This window comes from Homo sapiens, chromosome 7 (assembly GCF_000001405.40).
Source record: "Homo sapiens chromosome 7, GRCh38.p14 Primary Assembly".
Taxonomy (NCBI): domain Eukaryota; kingdom Metazoa; phylum Chordata; class Mammalia; order Primates; family Hominidae; genus Homo; species Homo sapiens.
Genome location: NC_000007.14, coordinates 38,611,903 through 38,631,735, shown reverse-complemented (window position 1 = coordinate 38,631,735; position 19,833 = coordinate 38,611,903). Strand labels below are relative to the sequence as shown.

Here is a 19,833-nt window from a genome sequence, read left to right as displayed (position 1 = left end):
AGAACCCCCGAGCTGCCCCTGGGCCCAGGGACTTCTGCTAGGCTTGGTTCCCTTTCTCCTCTCGAAACTCTTCTATCATCGAGGAGACAATCTGGCTTCTGGCTTTTCCCTCTCTTTTTCTTGGCCTCTTTCTCTTTCTTCCCCCGCCCCTTCTCCCCATGTCACAGCCAGTCCCGACGCATCCCGCCCCCGCTCTGTCGCTTTAAGCTGGTCCCGCCGCCGCGCCCCGCCCTCACCCCTCCGCGCTCCGCGGCTCCCCGCCGCTTCTCCCGCTCCTCCCTTGCTCGGCCCTCTCCTCCTCCTCCCGCTCCTCCTCCCGCTCCTCCGCGCCGCCGCCAGCCCCGCTGCGCGCTCTGCTCTTCGCAGCTCCCCGGACCCGCAGCCATGGCCGACATCAAGACGGGCATCTTCGCCAAGAACGTCCAGAAGCGACTCAACCGCGCGCAGGAAAAGGTCAGCGGCGGGCGGCCGGGGCTGGGGCCGGGGACGCCAGGCGGGGGCTTGGCCGGAGGGCACCGGCTGCAGCTGTGCGGGGCCCGAGCCTCGGGGTGCGGCGCGCTGCGGAGCGGGGCCGGGGCCAGGGACGCTGGGACGCCCTGCCCTCAGCTCGGTGACTGCCGCAAGGCGCGACCCGGGCGCCGCGGGGAGCGGGTCGGGAGGACGCAGCGCCGGGGACCCGCAGACCCTGGCCCCGGAGACGCCGGATATGTCCAGCTCCGGAGCCGGCCCCGGGTTGCCGCTCTCCTGGCCCCAAGCCAGGCAACAGAAGTAGGAGGTGCGGCAGCTTGCCCGCTGCGCCCGGAGCAGAGCGCATCTCCCTGCGCTCGCATCTCCCCGGGCCGGCTCCCAGCGCGCCCGCAGGCAGCTCGCGGGGACGCGGCCCGCAGATCGGGGCGGGAGATTGCAGCAGCCTTCCTTCTTGCGGGGGATTTTGTGGCTACTTAAGTGCAGCAGACACGAACGATTTAACAGAGAAGCCACCAAAAATCTCCCAGGACCAATAGGGTAGGATCGTGATCACACAGTGCTGTCTGGTGAGTTCTGGAGTTCAAAACAGAGATCTAGATATACACACTTTTAATTTTGGTCTATATGTTTGTGTCCCTTTTGACTCCAGTGTCCTTCTTTAGAAGGTCAAAAATAAATATGACCTGAACCTAATAGTTCCTTTCTGCATATTTCTGCACAAAGAAGGACCTTTTATTGCATTTTAAAAAATCCAGATTGCACAAATTGGGTTCTCTGTTGTTTTGCAAGTCCCTCAGTAAATTGCGCACAGTAATTTATTTTTTTTCCCCAGAGACGTGCATGAATGAAACCCAGGTCCGTAGCAAGCACAGCCCAAAGCAGGTGGAGGGGAGTTGTACCAGGCACCAGGCTTGCCTGGCTTCCCTGGTGACTGCTGTATATGACGGCCCTGAGGTCTTCATTTGTGTCCTGAGCAAAGGACATTTCCTTTATATTGTAGCTTGAGCATTGTACTTGAAAATCAACACCGGCTAATGAGCCCCATGATTGGTATCACTTGAACTGTGTTCTCTTTCACGTGGCAGTATTTTCCGTCCCTAGGATATGGGGTGTTTAGCGTTTTCCTGTTTTACTGGAAGTCAGATTTGCCATGTTGCTCAGGATGGCAATGAATTTCCCTCTTCAGACCCAATCTCAATCTCAGGCTGCCTCCCAGTTCCGGCTGACCATGAGTTGCTGAGCAGAGGGGGCACTGATCCCTTTTGTCCCCAGGCCCAGAGGCTTGGTGGCTGCCTCTAGTCCCTCCCTCCACACATGCACACTCTCCATGCAGTAAGAGGATTGTATTTCTTTTAATATCTACCCAAGCTCATCCTGAACTAAAGTGATCCTCCTCCTGCCTCTCCCTCCGCAGCTGAATTAGCAAGGCTGCCTGCTGCCTTCCAGGCCCGGGTTACTTGTGCAGAAAGTAGCCAGGGATCTGCTGGCTTGGGATCTGGGCCAGGTTTTGTCATCCTTTTTCCACACTTCATTTTACCCACTTGTAGGTACTCCTCCTCCTGCCTTCCAAGTAATTACTTGACTCTTCGGTCTGAGGCTTTTCACTGAATCCACTTTCCATCTGTGAAGGAATTTAGTGATATGGTCTGCCTTTTCACATATTGAATTATTTCTTAATCTAGGTCACCAGCTGTTAATATGCTCAAAATAAATGAAAAGAAAACCTAATCTCTTACGGAGCATTCAAGTCCTGTGAATTGTCAAAACTCACTTTTTCACGATCAAGGTCAAGTGTACTTTATGACTGCAGTTGTGGATGGTGGTCAGTCTTCTATGGGAGCGGGGGTGAGAGACCCTCTTGGGGGTTTCAAGCGTCCTATTTTCTTCACTGGGGAAAGGTGCTGATGAAAAGTGCCTGCCGCACCTAGTATAGAGGTTCAAACACTAAGAGGCTGAGAGTATAGGCTCTTCCCCAGGGTGAGTTCTGCCCCCCTTTCTGAGTCTGTGTAGCATCAGGATATGCTTGGCACAAAGAGAAAAGGGCATGTTGGCATCCAGGTAAAGCAGCCCAGCCCAAATGGAGGCTGCTGGAGAAAGGAAAGCACAGTATGTTACTGTCAGAGGCTCCATTAGACATATCCCCACGTGATTCCCTCTTTCTACACCTTTGGCCTCTTCCTCTTCTCCAGAGAAGACTCTTCATCCCAATAACTATAGACCATATATGTCCCTGAGACCCTTTGCTTCTTGTTTTTACAACCAAATTTTCTTAAAAGAGAGTCCACTCCCTTGACTTTCTTATCATCTGTGCTTCACCTAAAAGCTTGCATATGTTTAGGCTCCAACTGCATGTCTGAAATCACTTTTAGAGGTGACATGGCTTTTTAGGAATTTTAAATACGTTTTTTTCTTACTGAAAGTCAGTGAAGATTCATTGGAGAAAGGCTGAAATGTATTAGTCAGCAGAAAAAAACCACAAGGCTGAAATGTACATATAAGCAGAAAAAAACTCCAGCAAATTACGAAGCACATAATTCTACTACTCGGAAATTTTACTACCATTTGATATGTATCTGAGTAGATCTTTTTCCATGTGTGTATGTATTTATACAACCAAAACAGGCTCATTGCTGTATAGTTGAAGACCTGTTTATTTCACTTCATAATTATGAACATCCTTCTATACATGTACATATTTTCCATCAATATTTTAAATTATTGAACACTATTGGAATGTATGGATTATACTGAATGCCTTATCTTTTGAATATTCATTTTTCCAGTGTTTCTATATGGAAATACAAGTCAGTGAGCAAATTTGTAGGGAGAATGTTTGCACACCTCTTTAATTATCTCCTTAGATAAATTCCTAGAAGAAGACTTATTGCATCCAAGGTTTGCCTATTTTTATTATAGCTAGATTGCCTTCCAGAAAGGTGTACCAATTTACATTCTCATCAGCAGTCCATGAGACACTTGCCAACTCTGGATAATAAAATTTAAAACAATGTTTAGCTATGTCATTGGATAAAATTTGTTCATGATTAATTTCATTTGTTTGATTTTTAAAAAGCAAACTTTTGTGCATTCGTGTTTTTGTTCTTGAATTGTGCTTTTATATTTCTGCCCGTTTTCTGTAGCAATTCTGTCTTGTTATTAGTAAGGGCAAAAACTTTATCAAGCCTAAGGGTTACAACCATTCTTTCTTCCTTTTCTATTTACTTTTAAATTGTTTGGTGATTTCTACTGAGAAAATGTTTTTGTTGATGTTTTATGTATATCTGCTTACATCTATTGGTTGGTTTTGTCTGGTTTCTCTTTTGCGTGGTTGAATTAGTCAGGATCCTGCTACATGCAGGTGTCAGAAAGCTCAACCCAAACTGGCTTAAGGAAAAAAGGAATTTAATTGCTAATAATAATAATATCTAACAATTTATATATGGTTCTTGTACATATAAATTTAGATTAGCTTTTAATGAATAAAAGCTATATATTCACATAAGATATATGAATATCTTACCTATAGTAGCCTATATACATATTCTTATACATATGTATATGTAAAAGTATATGCAGACCATATCTTTCCTTTAGCTTTTTTTTTTTTTTTTTTGAGACAGAGTCTCGCTCTGTCACCCAGGCTGGAGTGCAATGGCGCGATCTCGGCTCACTGCAAGCTCCACCTCCTGGGTTCATGCCATTCTCCTGCCTCAGCCTGCCCAGTAGCTGGGACTACAGGTGCCCACCACCACGCTTGGCTAATTTTTTATATTTTTAGTAGAGATGGGGTTTCACCGTGTTAGCCAGGATGGTCTCGATCTTCCTAGTAGCTGGGACTACAGGTGCCTGCCACCACGTCCGGCTAATTTTTTTTTTTTTTGTATTTTTAGTAGAGACGGGGTTTCGCCATGTTTGCCAGGATGGTCTCAATCTCCTGACCTCGTTATCTGCCCGCCTCAGCCTCCCAAAGTGCTGGGATTATAGGTGCGAGCCACCGCGCCCGGCCTCCTTCAGCATTTTTACAGAACTCTTTGGTATAACTCTCAGTGGCCCAAACTGGGCCTTGTGCCTATCTCTGGAAGAAAAAACATCTCTGAGAGCAAGGGCCAAGACCACGGGTTGGACTGGTTGAATTGGGCCTGAGTCATGAGCCAGTGCGAAAGCCAGGAATGAAGATTCCCCTGAACGATATGGACTCTTAGTGGAGGAGGTAGGGAACTTAGAGTACAGAATGGGGAGTGGACACTGGGTGGCAAAATAAATGATATTCACAGAGGCGTCCCTGAAAGACCTTCTCCATCCCAGGTTTATATAAATAATCACATATTTAATATTTGTTTAACATTTTTATGTGTGCAGTTAAAAAATATGTTAGTAAAAAGCTTATCATGAAAAACTGTATATCCTTCGCCTACTTTTTGATGGGGTTGTTTTTTTCTTGTAAATTTGCTTAAGTTCCTTTTAGATTCTGGATAATTAGCCCTTTGTCAGATGGATAGATAGCAAAAATTTTCTCCCACTCTGATGATAGTTTCTTTTGCTGTGCAGAAGCTCTTTAGTTTAATTAGATCCCATTTGTCAATTCTGGCTTTTGTTGCAATTGCTTTTGGTGTTTTAGTCATAGAGTCTTTGCCCATGCCTATGTCCTGAGTGGTATTGCCTAGGTTTTCTTCTAAGGTTTTTATGGTTTTAGGTTTTACATTTAAGTCTTTGATCCATCTTGAGTTAATTTTTGTATAAGGTGTAAGGAAGGGGTCCAGTTTCTGTTTTCTGCATATGGCTAGCCAGTTTTCCGAGCACCATTTAGTAAATAGGGACTCCTTTCCCCATTGCTTATTTTTGCCAGATTTGTCAAAGATCAGATGGCTGTAGATGTGTGGTGTTATTTCTGAGGTCTCTGTTCTGTTCCATTGGTCTATATATCTGTTTTGGTACCAGTACCATGTTGTTTTGGTTACTGTAGCCTTGTAGTATAGTTTGAAGTGGGGCTTAAAACCTAAATGATGGGGTTCATAGGTGTAGCAAACCACCATTGCACATGTATACCTATGTGACAAACCTGCATATTCTGCACATGTATCCCAGAACTTAAGGTAAAATTTAAAAAAAAGAAAGAAAAATAACAGTCCCCTGTTCCCCTCTCCTCAACCTACAATCTTGTTAGAGGCAATAGTGCTAACCATGAGATTTCTCAAAAATATGCTTATACAGCTATTTCTTGATCTATCTTTTAATGTATGGTGAAGATATGTAAATTTAACTTTTTTATTTCTCCTCTAGTTCTTCCCCCAATTATACACTGAACAAAAATTGTTATTGCAAAAGATTACATTTTAAAGATTGAAGTCCAATTTTTATTGAATAAAGTGCACAAATCTTAAGTGTTCAGCTTCATGAGTTTCTATGTATATGGATATCTGCATAGCTACCACCCAGATAAGTAACAGAATGTTTCTTCCATCCCAGTTACCTACCATTTCTTTTGCCTTTCTTGTTCTTTGTCTTTTTATGTTCATACCTTTTAAATTACTTTACTCTCTTTTCCCTGATGAGCACCTTTACATGTACTTATTGGTAATTTTGATATCTTCTTTTGTGAAGTTTCATTAAAGTCTCTTGCCAGTATTTTATTTGGGTTGCTTGTCTTTTTTCTGTTGCTGTTTAGTTTTCTATGTATTCAGGATATGAGTTCTTTATCAGGTGGACATCTTATATTTTCTTCCAGACAGTGCCTTGCTTTTTTACTTTCTTAGTGGTACCCTTTGATGAGTGGCAGTTTAAAGTTTTCATGAAGTCTTATGTGAGGATTAAGTTTTTCATGCAGCTTTTTGTTTTTCCTGGAGTTAATAATTGCCTTGCCTTTAAAAATTTGCTTATTTTTTAAATGAACTTTAAAAAGTTGTTTCTTCTTGCTTCATCAGATATGTCAAATGTTTATCAATATTATTGTTCGAGGTTCAATATATCAAATAATGTAATTGCTCATTTTCTCATCCTGGAGATATCCTTTTTGGATGCCTCTGCCCTTTTGTGGTAATCTGGGCTGATTTTTCTGTAGACCTGTTGCATACATGTCATCCTGGGTCTTCTTTTGCCAGTGTTGGGGTTGAGGAATGGACCTGAAATCTCAAGTATCCTATATTCCCGGGCTTTCAAACAGTCCCCTGTTGTCAGTGTTGTGCTTCATTCTTACCTTCTATGGTGTGTGGTGTGTGGTGGGACCAGGTCCTAACCCTGAGTGTGTTTGTGTGTGTAACTGTGTGGTGATAATTGGTTGCTTTTTCATTGGTTGTTCCTGTATAGGCACACTTTTTTTTTTCTTATAGTTTCCTCCATTCTGCTGACTTGTTTCCATTCTTTCATCTTTTTTAGCATCTGTAAAATGTATGGAACTCTTGTATTCACTAATGCTGGCTTTCCTGTTCTTGTCCTTGTATGTTCATAATTTTTTATTCCTTTACTGTCGCCTTAGTTGGGCTTTGGAATGAGATGGAAATAAGCACATGCAGTCAGCCTGCCATGTTTAACGAAATGCCTTTTTATTTAAATACTTGATCTCTCTGGGATTTATTTTTTTATTATTTTTATTTATTTATTTTTTTGCCCATCTTCTTCTATTTGTGAAATCCAGTGGCATTTATTTGGTCTTAACTCTCTTTGACCTCTATACAATATTTAAATCAGTGAAGCACTGCCTTTAAACATTTTTTTTTTTTTTTTTACCATGACTGTAGTGAGCAGGATACTCGGGAGGCCGAGGCAGAAGAATCGCTTGAACCGGGAGGGCAGAGGATGCAGTGAGCCGCGATTGTGCCACTGCACTGCAGCCTGGGCGACAGAGCGAACTCCATCTCAAAAATAATACTAATACTAATACTAATACTAATAATAATAATAAGGGAGTTAGACTATTTAAATTCTAAGGACCTGCCCAGTTTGATATTCTTTGTGTCATTTTCTCTGTCCCAAGTGATTATTATATAATTGTCTTAGGTGCAATTTTTTTTTCATGCATTACATCTTCCAAACTAAATTGTAGGTACTTGAGGACAAGGACCAAATATCTTGCGAATTGTATGTACTCAGTGACGATGTACTGATTTGCCTTTCCATGTCCTTGCTTGTTAACCTCCCACTCCTGCAAACACATTGTCTTAAAGAATCCTTCCACAATTCTTTCTGTGACTTTTGTGAAATTATCATAAGGGTTTCATCGTCATTTGCTTTGTCATTTTGTGAAAATAGTACAGCAAATGTAATTACCCTTATGGATTCTATACATGGTGGGAATGCTATAAATATTAGGCTGAATCATGTGGAATTGTCATATTTGTGAGTCAAACAGTCAAATATTGGCAGAGTCATGTGCTTCAGTGCAATGTTGATTGAGTGATATGGTAAGAAAACAATGTTGTCTCCTTCCATCTGTCTGGTTGTGTGACATTTGGATTCTTTTTCGATTGTCGCTTTGCCGATGCCTGCATTTTTTGTTCTCAAGGAGAAATATTGTGGATGGTGTGCATGTATAAAAAGAATGGGCAAAGGAAGATCCTCCTCTGTCAAGGAGATTTGTACTGTGAGGCCCAGGGCCCATCTGTAGAAGAGTAGTTTATATGGCCACGTTTACTTCCGAGGACACTTCAGAGACCAAATCTCTGAGACATATTGGGGTTTCTCTTTTTTCAGATCATCTGAAATCTCTTTTGTTGCCTGCATCTATATTTTACAAAGCTTATGCCTTCTTTTCCACTAGGGTTATTTTCTCTGGCTGTATTAGAAACTTCAAAAATTAAAAATAATAATTATGGGACATTCTTAACAGAGTAGAGTTTCCTTCTTCTGCCTTTTTTATTAATGCAAACATATATATACTAATGTATCCTTCTTTCTCTAGGAATGAGTACAACAGAAAATAAGAACTGTAGGAACTCAGATTTTAACATTAATAAAAGTTACCATTCTCCTTTAACACAAGCATATTTGGTTACATTTGAAAACTAGCTTTTTTAATAGACCAAACAACTTGTCATAGCTGAGATATTTGTATAAACAATATGGCCCCCTTTACTTGGTGTATGAAATTAGATCCCATTTCTTTAAATATTCGAATTAAATGATTTCTCCTTCCTACCCAATTATTATGAAAATCTCTTACTCCTCCCAGGGGTCCCTGTCTCTTGTGATAATTTCAGGAACCCATGGTGAGTTTCCCTTCTTTAAATGAGTCAATGGTTTTTACTACAGCCTTGTGAGAAAGGGTCCCTAATGTGAGTCCAGCATTCGGATACCGTTCTTATCCCTGGATGAGCACTGCAGGGAACAAGAGCACAGTACGGTGCCCTCACCAGTGGGTCTTAGGGTGGAGGCAGGAGCTGGAAGCCTCTCTCTCCTGGGTTAGACTCAGCTTCAGTATGTCTGAGCTCCACATATGTGAGCTCTTTACAAATGAATATCCATGAATATTATACAAACCATTCCCAAATTATACAAGCCATTCTCAAATTTACTTGTGCATATACACATACAAATTCCCCCTCCCCCAAGATTTGCTCATAGTGCCCGTGTTCCAAAGTTAGGAAAGATTCAATATCCTCACACATTGTGCCTAGAATTATCTATTTCATTCCACTCTACTCTTCCACTTTTGAGAAAATTATCTTTGGGACATACTAAATTTATTCTAAGCCCACAATTTGAAAAACACTACCCTAGAGGACCTCTGGTATCCATTCCTGTAAGTTGACTATCTTTTGGGCCATTGCAGTTCATCTAAGGGGATGTGTTTGTGCGTGTGTGTGTGTGTGTGTGTGTGTATGTATTCATACATACAAATATATAGTTACATATATTACATACATTCATATATATGACTAAATTTCAAACAGGAAATATTGTGAAGTACCTTAGGAGAAAATAAGTAGAGAAGGGAAAGAATCTTTCTTAAAATGATGCATTTTTCTGATATTTTAAAGTCTGGAAATTTCCACCTTACTGTCCAAACACAATTTTAAAAGACTTTCTAGCCATTTACACTAGGGGCCACCTGCATAGAACTTCTGAGAAAATAAGTGGCCCAGTGGGCTCCTGTAAAAGGGACAAAAGATGTAAAGATTCCTTGTGTTGCAGATATAATTTTTCCTACATTCTCAGTAAATGGCTAACATTTACATAATGGAAATGCTGTCACCACAGAGTTTAAGGAATTTACCCATGAAAGAATATAGTAAGACCATCTATACAGCATCATGCAAAATTGAAGTGATAATAATCACGATTTTCTGAGACTGCATCTATGGGCCACCTTTCCACATGGAAATGCTGAAACATCATTCTTATTGATTTGAGATCTAAATTTAAGTGTACTATTTGGCTGTAGATGTACTTCCTGAACACAAATTGACCAAATCTCTTTTGAGGAATGATGTCGTATAAAGCCATGGATAAGATCTTAGTTTTGAAATATTTGCTATGTGATAATCATATATCAATTTTGATCACCCTGAACCTACTTAGAACAGATGTACAAAAACGAGAAAACCACCATTTTGGTCATTTACATCTTACTCTCATGCAGTTATTTAGTTGAAAGCTGAGTTCATAAATGGGAAGAGCTTGAATATATAATAATTTAACAAATTAATAAATATATATATGATTTTTCCCTATCTTTACGTGCCTATAATGATTTAATAAAATATGCATAGACCCATGCATAAATGCACTTTTATCAAGGCACCTAAAAGTTGTTGAGTAAAGGATGTTAAATTCATATGCTTTATTAGTTATCTATTCTATTGTCAAGTCAATTTGGTAGAATTCATTTATTTAGAGCCATTTATTGAGAATCTAATATGTGGAAGGCACTTTCTAGAGACTCATAATATAGCAGTTGACAGAGCTGTCCTGGTTGAGCATACAGAGCAGCAGGAGTTGATAGTGAGATAAACTTTTGCACACACTACTAAGTACATAGTTATTAGTTAAAAATAGTAATTTTAACTTATGTATGATAAAAATACAGTTCAGTTTGTAACTAGGGAACTAATCTAGAGTCAGAGGATTTGAACACAGTTACTTAAAGTAGGTAGATTTCAAGCTAAGATCCTAAGAATGAATTGTAGCCATCAGACAAGAGGAGTAAGGGTGTGCTGATTACAGGAGTCAGGAAGCATTCTATACCTCTGACACTTTGTCCTTACTCCTTGAGCATAAATAAGAACTGTAGAATAGAGAATTGACTGCAGACACTGGCCTTATAAATGATCTCTTCTCTCATTTGGATATTTAACTAGGCAAAGTGGACCCTAATTGGGTCCACTGCTGTGGTAGCAGTCCCTCGTTTGTGTGATCAGATTTTTACCCTTACCTGTTGAAGGGTCCTTCTGGGGCATAGTTGCCCCCTTGACACAGAGCCAGGACACTGGTTCAGAGCTGACTTGCCCTCTGAACTATCTGTCATCCAAAATCCTTTTTTACAACAGCAGTAAACTCCAACCCAGTATGCTTTCATGGATTTGTTGAGAGAAGGGTCTCTTATTTTAAACCATCAGAAATCCAAAAAAAAGAAAGCCCTTATCAAATTCTTAAGTGTCACCCATCTATAAAGATGCTTTTGTCTTTAAAAGTCTTAATTGCATTTGGATGCCTAACATTTAATCAACATTTAATCAATTGCACGTGTGTGTGTGTGTGTGTGTGTGTGTGTGTGTGTGTGTGTGTATGTATGTATATATATAGCATAGATGCATAGATGGTCCAAACCTTGGGAGGATCTCCCAACTTATGGCAGCACTGCCTAGGGTGTTGAAGAACAGTGTAATACCTTTCCCTGTAATTACTCTGTAATTCCTCAATATATGAAACATCTGTGTAAGACATCCTGCTTCTTTAACACACACACACAGACACACACACACACACACACACACACATATATATATCTCCAATGAATTGGTATATAATGTACACGGGGGTGGGGCAGAGAGGGAAGGAGGGAAGGAGAGAGAGAGTGAACGAGCGAGAGAGAAATATAATTAAGGCTGGCAACTTGACTTAATTATGGGTATTGACTTGATTATTTTGCAGGCAGTGGTCTTGGACTTAGGAATAATCAGCTTCAGGTGATTTGCAGCTTGGAAGGAATCCTAAATTAGGGAAGAGAATCTTTCATAGCAGACAATCTTTTCCTCTATCTGATAATGGTTACAAACCTTTAAATAGCGTAGATGGTCCAAACCTTGGGAGGATCTCCCAACTTAATGGCAGCACTCCTAGGATGTTGAAGAACAGTCTAATACCTTTCTCTGTAATTACTCTGTAATTCTTTAATATATGAGACATTTGTGTAAGACATCCTACTTTTTTAACCTACAGATTTTATAACACAATATTTTCTCTGAGAGTCTCTAGGAAAATGGTATCCAGAGTTCTGTTTCCATCCCTTTACAAAATGCTTGTGACCATGGGGACCACTGGCATTCCTAAACTATAGGTTGAGACCTAAGTCCTTGTAGGGCTCTCCTGGGGATGTATATTGGCCCATAGTTGTTCCTGTTAAGCATAGACAGTGAATCCATTGTAGGTGGAGAAAATATTTTATGTGACTTTAATCTTTTAAAATTTGTTGAGGCTCATTTTATAGTCTAGCATATGGCCTATCCTGGAGAATCTTCCATGTACGCTTGAGAATAACTGTTTTTTGCTGTTGTTGGGTAGAGTGTTCTATAGATGTGTGTTAGGATGAGTTGGTTTGTTTTCTTGTTGATCTTCTATCTAGATGTTCTATCCATTATTGAAACTAAGGTATTGGAGTCTTCAGTATTGTTGTTGAATTGTCTATTTCTTTCTTCCGCTCTGTCAGTTTATCCTTCATGTATTTTAGTGCTCTTTTATTAGGTGCATAGTTACATTTGTTACGTCTACTTCATAGATTGACCTTTTGTCATTATTAAATGTCCTTCTTTGTCTCTAGTAGTAACTTTTGTCTTAAAGTCCATTTTTATCTGATACGGTTATAGCCATTCCAGTTTTCTTTTGGTTACTATAATATTTGCATGATGTATCTTTTTTTTTATTTAAGAGACAGGGTCTTGCTCTGTCACTCAGGCTGGAGTACAGGCACGATCATAACTCACTGCAGCCTCGAATTCCTGGACTCAAGCAATCCTCCTGCCTCAGCCTCCTGAGTAGCTGGGACTACAGGCACTTGCCATCATGCCTGGCAGCATGAGATATCTTTTTCATCCTTATACTTTCAACTTATTTGTGTCTTTGAATCTAAATGTTGTCTCTCATAGACAGTATTTTGTTAGATTTTTTGGATCAATTTTGCCAATCTCTGCCTTTTAATTGGAGTATTAAGTCTATTTACATTTTACATAATTAACTGAAAAGACAGGATTTATGTTTGTCATGTATATCTTATTTCTCTTTGTTGCTTTATTTTTCATGCCTGCTTTTGGTGTTAAATAGATATTTTCTTGTGTGGTCTTTTAATTCCCTTGTTGTTTCTTTTACAAATAGTTTTTGAGTTATTTTCTTAGTGGTTGCCCTGGGATTACAGTTAACATCTACATTTGTCACAATAGAGGTCAGATTAATACTATCTCAATTTCAATAGTATATAACATTTTTCTCCTGTGTAGCTCCATTTTCTCTCTTTTGTTGTATTGTGATTGTCAAACACCTTACATGTTTATATATTTTATGTTCGTCAACAAGATTTATAGTAATTGCTTTATGCAACTCTTTTTTTTTGAGACAGAGTCTCACTCTGTCACCCAGGCTAGAGTGCAGTGGCATGATCTCGGCTCACTGTAAGCTCTGCCTCCCGGTTTCATGCCATTCTCCTGCCTCAGCCTCCCGAGTAGCTGGGACTACAGGTGCATGCCACCACGCGTGGCTAATTTTTTTTTTTTTTTGTAGAGATGGGGTTTCACCATGTTAGCCAGGATGGTCTTGATCTCCTGACCTCATGATCTGCCCGCCTCGGCCTCCCAAAGTGCTGGGATTATAGGTGTGAGCCACCGCGCCTGGCCTATGCAACTCTTTTAAATCAGATAGAATCATAATGAGTTATAAGCAATAATGCATTTATACTGTCTTTTGCATTAACCTATGTTGTTACTGCATATTTCAAAAATATATTTTTCTTATGAAATGGACTCTGTTTAATAAACAATTATTAACTCATTTGCTCATTAAAAAATAAAGCAAGATCATAGTACGAGATGTCCAGTGTTACTAACACATTTATTAAGCATAACTCCAGCTAAACATAAAGTAAAGTAATATAAGGAACTAATTAGTTTTTAGCCATAGTATAAATAAAGTTACACTTACTGTCTGCTAACTGGTTTGGATTATTGAGGAAATGTTTCATACTCCCCTTAGTAGTTTTACAATTCCAGTTTTTTTTTCCATTCCATAGTTAGGAGCTACTAAGTATTACTTATGATACCTCAAGATATATGCAACATCTTATAACTTTTTTCTGGGTGCCTGTAACTTTTATCAGGTTTTCAAAAAGATCTGTGACTTAAAAAGCATAAACACCAACAATGAGTCTAAAGTATTAAGGGACTCTTGGCTTAAATATTTCTGCAAAACTTGAAGAGCAGGAAGGAGAATTAAGTCATCAGTGGATGACAGAGCTGCTGGCACCTGGGCACCCAGCATGGTTTATTCTTGGTTTGGTTATGGTCCTTGCCCTTGAAGACTCAGATTTTCTAGGTCCCTCAGGATTTGGCCCAAGTATTGTGATAGTTTCAACATAAATGCGTGGTGCACGCCTTCTGCCACTCCAGGTTCCTTGTCACACATCTCTAAAATAATTATTTTGATCTGTTATTTAAGGGATAACAAAATTTCTTAAGGTAATTCAGTTTTTGAGTCACCACAGCCTATGACTTTTTCTAGTTGTCCATTTCATGGCATCTAGAGATCTCTGTTTAGAGGTGGCCCAGGTAAATGAGAGGAACCCTCTATCAGAGGTGACCAGGGGAAGTCTACATTTATTTCCAACGTACATTAGATGATGCCCTGTAGAGTTTGGGTGTAGATCAGCCCCCTTGGGGTAACACACATTCCTCTCACACCTTGCTTCCTTAAATTGAAGTGGAAAAGACTGTGCATGTATGTTGTTTTGAAGCTTTTATAATGAGGTATGAAATACATGTAGTAAGTAGCAAAAATCTTAGCCGTACAGCTTCATACATTTTTATATATGTAAAAATTTTATGTAAAATACTAAATCAAAATCTATATCTACATCTACATTATCTATATTTATATCTACTTCTATCTGTATCTATATCTTATCTATATCTATCCTGTGTTACTGCTACTCAGATGAAGTCACAGGGTAATTCCAGAATCCATTAGCTCCTCCATGCCTCTTCCCAGCTAATACCTCCTCTCCTCTGCTCACTTCCTACTACCAGGTAGCCACTATTCTGATTCTAACCCCATAGATTAATTTCAGTTGTTCTTGAACCTTGTATAAATGGAATCATATAGTATATACTCTTATGAATTTTACTTCTTTTGCTCCTCATCATGTATTGAGATTCATCCGTATTGCCATCTGTAGGAGCAGTTCCTTCTTTTTTTATTGATAAATTATATTATAGTGTACAATATCCCACAATTTATTTACCCATTCTTCACCTGTTAGGCATTTTGTCTGTTTCCAGTATTAGGCTATGGTGAATAAGGCAGCTGAACACATCTTATACATGTCTATTGGTAGAAAAAACCACTTATTTATCTTGGGTTAATACCTGAGAGTGGAATGAATGATTCATTAGGGTAGGCCCTCTTTAGCTTTTAGAGATGGTACCAAACAGTTTTCCAAAGTTGCATCAAATTTATAGTCCTGTCCACAGTTGTGAGAATTTAGAAAGCCTATATTTTCATGTTCTAAGTTTGATTTCGCTGAGTTGTATTTTTTTCACTCCTGCATCCCCATGGGACTCATATTTGTTTAGTGATAATTGATTTTATCTTTATATATTTCACACATAATCGTAGGGACGTTTCTCTCATGAACTGTCCACATTTTGTGTTTGAATCAGGTGGGGGAGTGGTCACCATTTTAAACTCAGACTACGACTTGCTTGTGCAGAGGAGATGTACACATGGTGTCTGTGTAGATGATTGGGGGAAGGATTGTGATACAGCTAATCTCGTGGTGTCAGAGGTTCTTTGGTGTGCTATATTCTGCCTCCTGTCCTCTGGGAGCAGTGTCCTATGCTCACATGAGTGGTATTCCCTGCATGTATATGTGGTTCATTAACTCACGATCTCCATCTTTGGCTCTAGCAGAGGCCAGTGGCATGGCATGCACCCACTGGCTCAGGCTCACCTTCATTGCTCTGCCATCTGGCTGCACTGACATTGGGCTCTGATCCCCAGCCCTTGCTACAGAACCACGTGGCCACTGCTACAGTAGCTAACCTGCTGTGTCTTCACTACATGAGTATTAAGGGCAGCTGGGGTAATCTCAACTTCAGGTCTCCTTAGCCTGGCTACACTGTGCAGCTACAGGATGTAACTGTGCCCTAGGCTGGTGAGAGGGGCAGCCCAAGAAGTGATCTTTCCAGAGTGTTCAGTGGGGCATAAGGACTGTAGCTCCCCTCTGACCCTGACATTATCCTCACTTCTCAGGGAGGAGAGGAGAAAATTGGGGTATATTTTCTTCCACTTTTGTTACTCTTTTTTGCAGAGGGGAAGGCTTTCTTCTTCCTTCTGTTATATCCTCCTGTGGCAGAGCTTGCCAGGCACCATGGATGAAGGGGGCACGTTCATTCCACTTTGGGAAAGAGGGCTCTATGAGCTGGGGCTTCCAGGTTTTATCTCCCTTTTTAGACTTAATGAAGGGTAATGGAAAATTTGCACTCAAGGTATCTTAATTCTTGTGCCAAGTCCAGTTAGAATAAAGAATTGGGTGTTTCCCCTGCTAGGCTCTGTGATGAGCAGTCCCATATATTAACTCATTTCACCCTCGTAGTGAACCTATGAAGTAGGTGCTATTATTATCCCTATCTTACAGATGAACAGACTGAAGCACAGAGATGAATGGTTAGGCAATTTGCTTGAGACTACTTAGCTAGTTAAGTATGGAATTGATCTCGGAAGTCTCATTTGACTTTGCAGTGCAATGTTCTTTTCATCAGTTCTGGTGAAGTTATTCTGCAATATTGAGTTGAGAGAATGTCAGGTGTCATGTAGTGTAGGGGAGTAATTCCAAGTGGTCTGGCACCTGAAAAGGTTTTATGCCTTTACATTTCATTCATTGCTTTACGTGTCATTATACTTATATCGCTGGGACCTTCCAGTTACCTTCTTTTTAACTTTGGAGAGGGTTTTCTTTAATATACTGGACTTTCCTAAAGTGGGGCAAACTGATGTGATAATCAGCTCTTTTTGGTTGCACAGTAGTTATATCCCAGCAACTTAAACTGCTTTAATAAATCTGATGCCTAAGGTCTTGTGGGATCTGGGAAAGAGGCACTTCTACCTCGGGGCCTTAGTGCCTCGAAAGATGGTTTGGAAAAATCATAAAGAATGCTTGAGTATCTGAGTTAATTTCATTTCTTACAAGATGAACATCTTACAAAACCTTTACAGCTCATCTTAAGTTGAACACCAGAAATAAAGATGTGCCTCCAAATATGACCTTACAGACTGAGAAAGATGAGAGCAAAGCCTGGATGCATGTGCTCTACCAATTGGCAAAGGGCCGATTTCTCCAAAGGGCAGATGTTTCCCAGGCCATCAGAGAACTCATGCGTGTTCTATATCTGCTTCTTAGCAACTTCCATATGCCAAGAATTCTGATTTCCACTTAATTTAAGCTTACTTCAATAGCTCAATTTTCATCTTTCCAGGTGCTTTTCCAGAGCTTTCCAGTTCAGTCAATTTTACATGATCCATCATGGAAACTGCAGGATTGTTTGCCAATTGCAATTCTTTTCCTTACTATATGTCAGAGATTGCAGGTTGCCCCCAGTATCAATTCCTCCCTTTTCATTTAGTAATAAAATTCCAACTTTTGCTGGGATATAACTACCCATATATGATAAATGATAGCATTTCACAGCATCATTTGTGGCTAGATGTGTCATGTGGCTAAGCTCTCATCAGTGGGAGATGTGCAGAAGGTGCATAGAAAACTTCTAGGTCTTGATCCTAAGGGGAGAGGTTTGTGTTCCACTGCTGCCTTTCCCTTTCCCGGTCTTTGGATGTGGATGTCATGGTGGGAGGTGGGGCTGTGACCTTTAGACTATGGGGTGGACTCCTGCCATGTCACATGTTGAGTACAGCAGGAATATGAGCATGGAGGAGCATGGGTCCTCTGTACTATGGAACTGCTGTGGCATCCTGGGTTCCTTACACTAGCACAGTTGCATGAGGAAGCAGGAGACTTCTATATCTACAGAAGCTGCTATTTTTTTTTTTTTTGGCTTTTATTCCTGCAGCTAAACCTCTGTCCTAAGGTTTACTTTGAACCGTTTGAAATTGCCATTTTTTTGTGAAACAAAATTTGTCAAATATCAGCAATCTCATACAGTTCAACTTAAGAATATACTTTCACTTGTAAAAATTGAATTTTGCACCTACTGTCTGAGGCTGCATACTGTGGAAGTGGAGAGCATTTTATGAAAGGTTCAGAGATGATTCAGGCACGGTGGAGAAATACTCTCCGCTCAGAACAGCGGATAATGAGCAGGTGCTTGATTGCTTAGAAATTATCCCGATTATCTGTTAAAAAGATTGATCTCTTTAGTTAAGACCTCCTTGGAAGCATTGTCAGGTACTTTTAGTCTAATTGGTTGGAAGGCAGCCACCTCAATACAGAGCTTTACAATTTGGCCCCTGGGCAGTATTTCTACTTGAATTGTGAGGTGAAAGTTCTACCTGTATTGGGTCCTATGCCGTGGTAGGTATGATGATGCTATAAGGGGACTATTTGGAGTTGGCCAAGACGTTTTAGAAAGGGTGACTTTGGTAAAATATAAGCTGAAATGCTAGAATTACAGAAAGATTTTGGTACAATTTATTTGGAAGCAGTTCAGAATGATGGGAAGACCTTTGGAATGAGTCAATTATGGATTCAAATCCTGACCTTCTCACTTCTCAGCTGTATGGTCTTGGTCAAGTCTCTCTGAACCAATGTTTCGACTTTAGCAAAATGCAGAAAATGATGCTTTTTTTTTAAGGTTGCAGTTAGAGTCAGAACTAATATTTTAAGTACTGGCACGGTATGTAGTATTTCCATAGAATGTAAATGGTAGCTATTTTTATTTTCTTTGGATTTCAATGTCTTTCTCAAGGTGGCAAATTAGGGCTATATTTATATGCTTTTAACCTTCCTTTAGAATAGATGGCATAAAAGAGGATCTAAGTGTATAACCCACATATCTATTTGAACCAAATGGGGAAGCACCTTGTTTAAACTTTGAACACGTAGTATATAACACATATTTCCTTTGGTCACACCCAAGTGTTCTAAAGAGGTGTCCCAGAACTGCAGATGGGGACAGACCATTTGACATCATCTACTGGCTCTCGGGTACCCTCATCTTCAACCATGGGGAAAGAGACCCACTGGACCTTTTGAAAAACCCTGATTCCCCTTCCTGCAGAGAACCATCTTTAGATAAGACCAAGATAGAAAGACATTTCCTCTCTCGCTCTTCTTTCATATGGATAATCTATCCATATCAGTGTTTCTGAGGCCCTTTGAGAAAACTGTTTAGGCTGTAGAAAAGGACTGTGTTATGTGGGTAAGATGTAAAAGACACCAGCCTTGCCCTCTATTGAAGCTCCAAAGCCCCCTGTGAAACTCCAGTGGCATTTTCACAGTGATATTTGTAAAAAGACAAAAACAGGCCGGGTGCGGTGGTTCATGCCTGTAATCCCAGCACTTTGGGAGGCCGAGGTGGGTGGATCACCTGACATCAGGAGTTCAAGACCAGCCTGACCAACATGGAAAATCCCCGTCTGTACTAAAAATACAGAATTAGCCGGGTGTAGTGGCACATGCCTATAATCCCAGCTACTTGGGAGGCTGAGGCAGGAGAATCACTTGAACCTGGGAGGTGGAGGTTGTAGTGAGCCAAGATTGTGCCACTGCCCAAGAGCAAAACTCCATCTCAAAAAAAAAAAAAAAAAAAAAGAAGAAGACAAAAAATCAGTCTTAGCAGTGTTTATTGAACTTAGAATGTTAGAGCTGGAACAGAAGTGAGCAATCAGAGGCGTGTCCTTAGACCTGGGTCATTTACTTAGTCCACTTATTAAGCTGTGTAGACAGACCGTGTTTGAGGATTAACACCCAAAGGTTCATCTCTTTTCCTGTGATTT

General features: G+C 40.3%; 1 protein-coding gene across 8 annotated transcripts in view; it reads left to right on the top strand.

Annotated features, from left to right (window-relative positions):
- The first annotated feature begins 362 nt into the window (after positions 1-362).
- The window catches only part of AMPH (amphiphysin), a 247,670-nt gene continuing 228,199 nt past the window's right edge, over positions 363-19,833 (top strand). For all 8 annotated transcript variants that reach the window (XM_006715690.5, XM_011515271.4, XM_017011996.3 and 5 more), the window contains exon 1: positions 363-453. In XM_006715690.5, the coding sequence (XP_006715753.1) occupies positions 385-453 (69 nt within the window). In that variant the 5' untranslated portion in view covers positions 363-384. The remainder of the gene's footprint in view (positions 454-19,833) is intronic.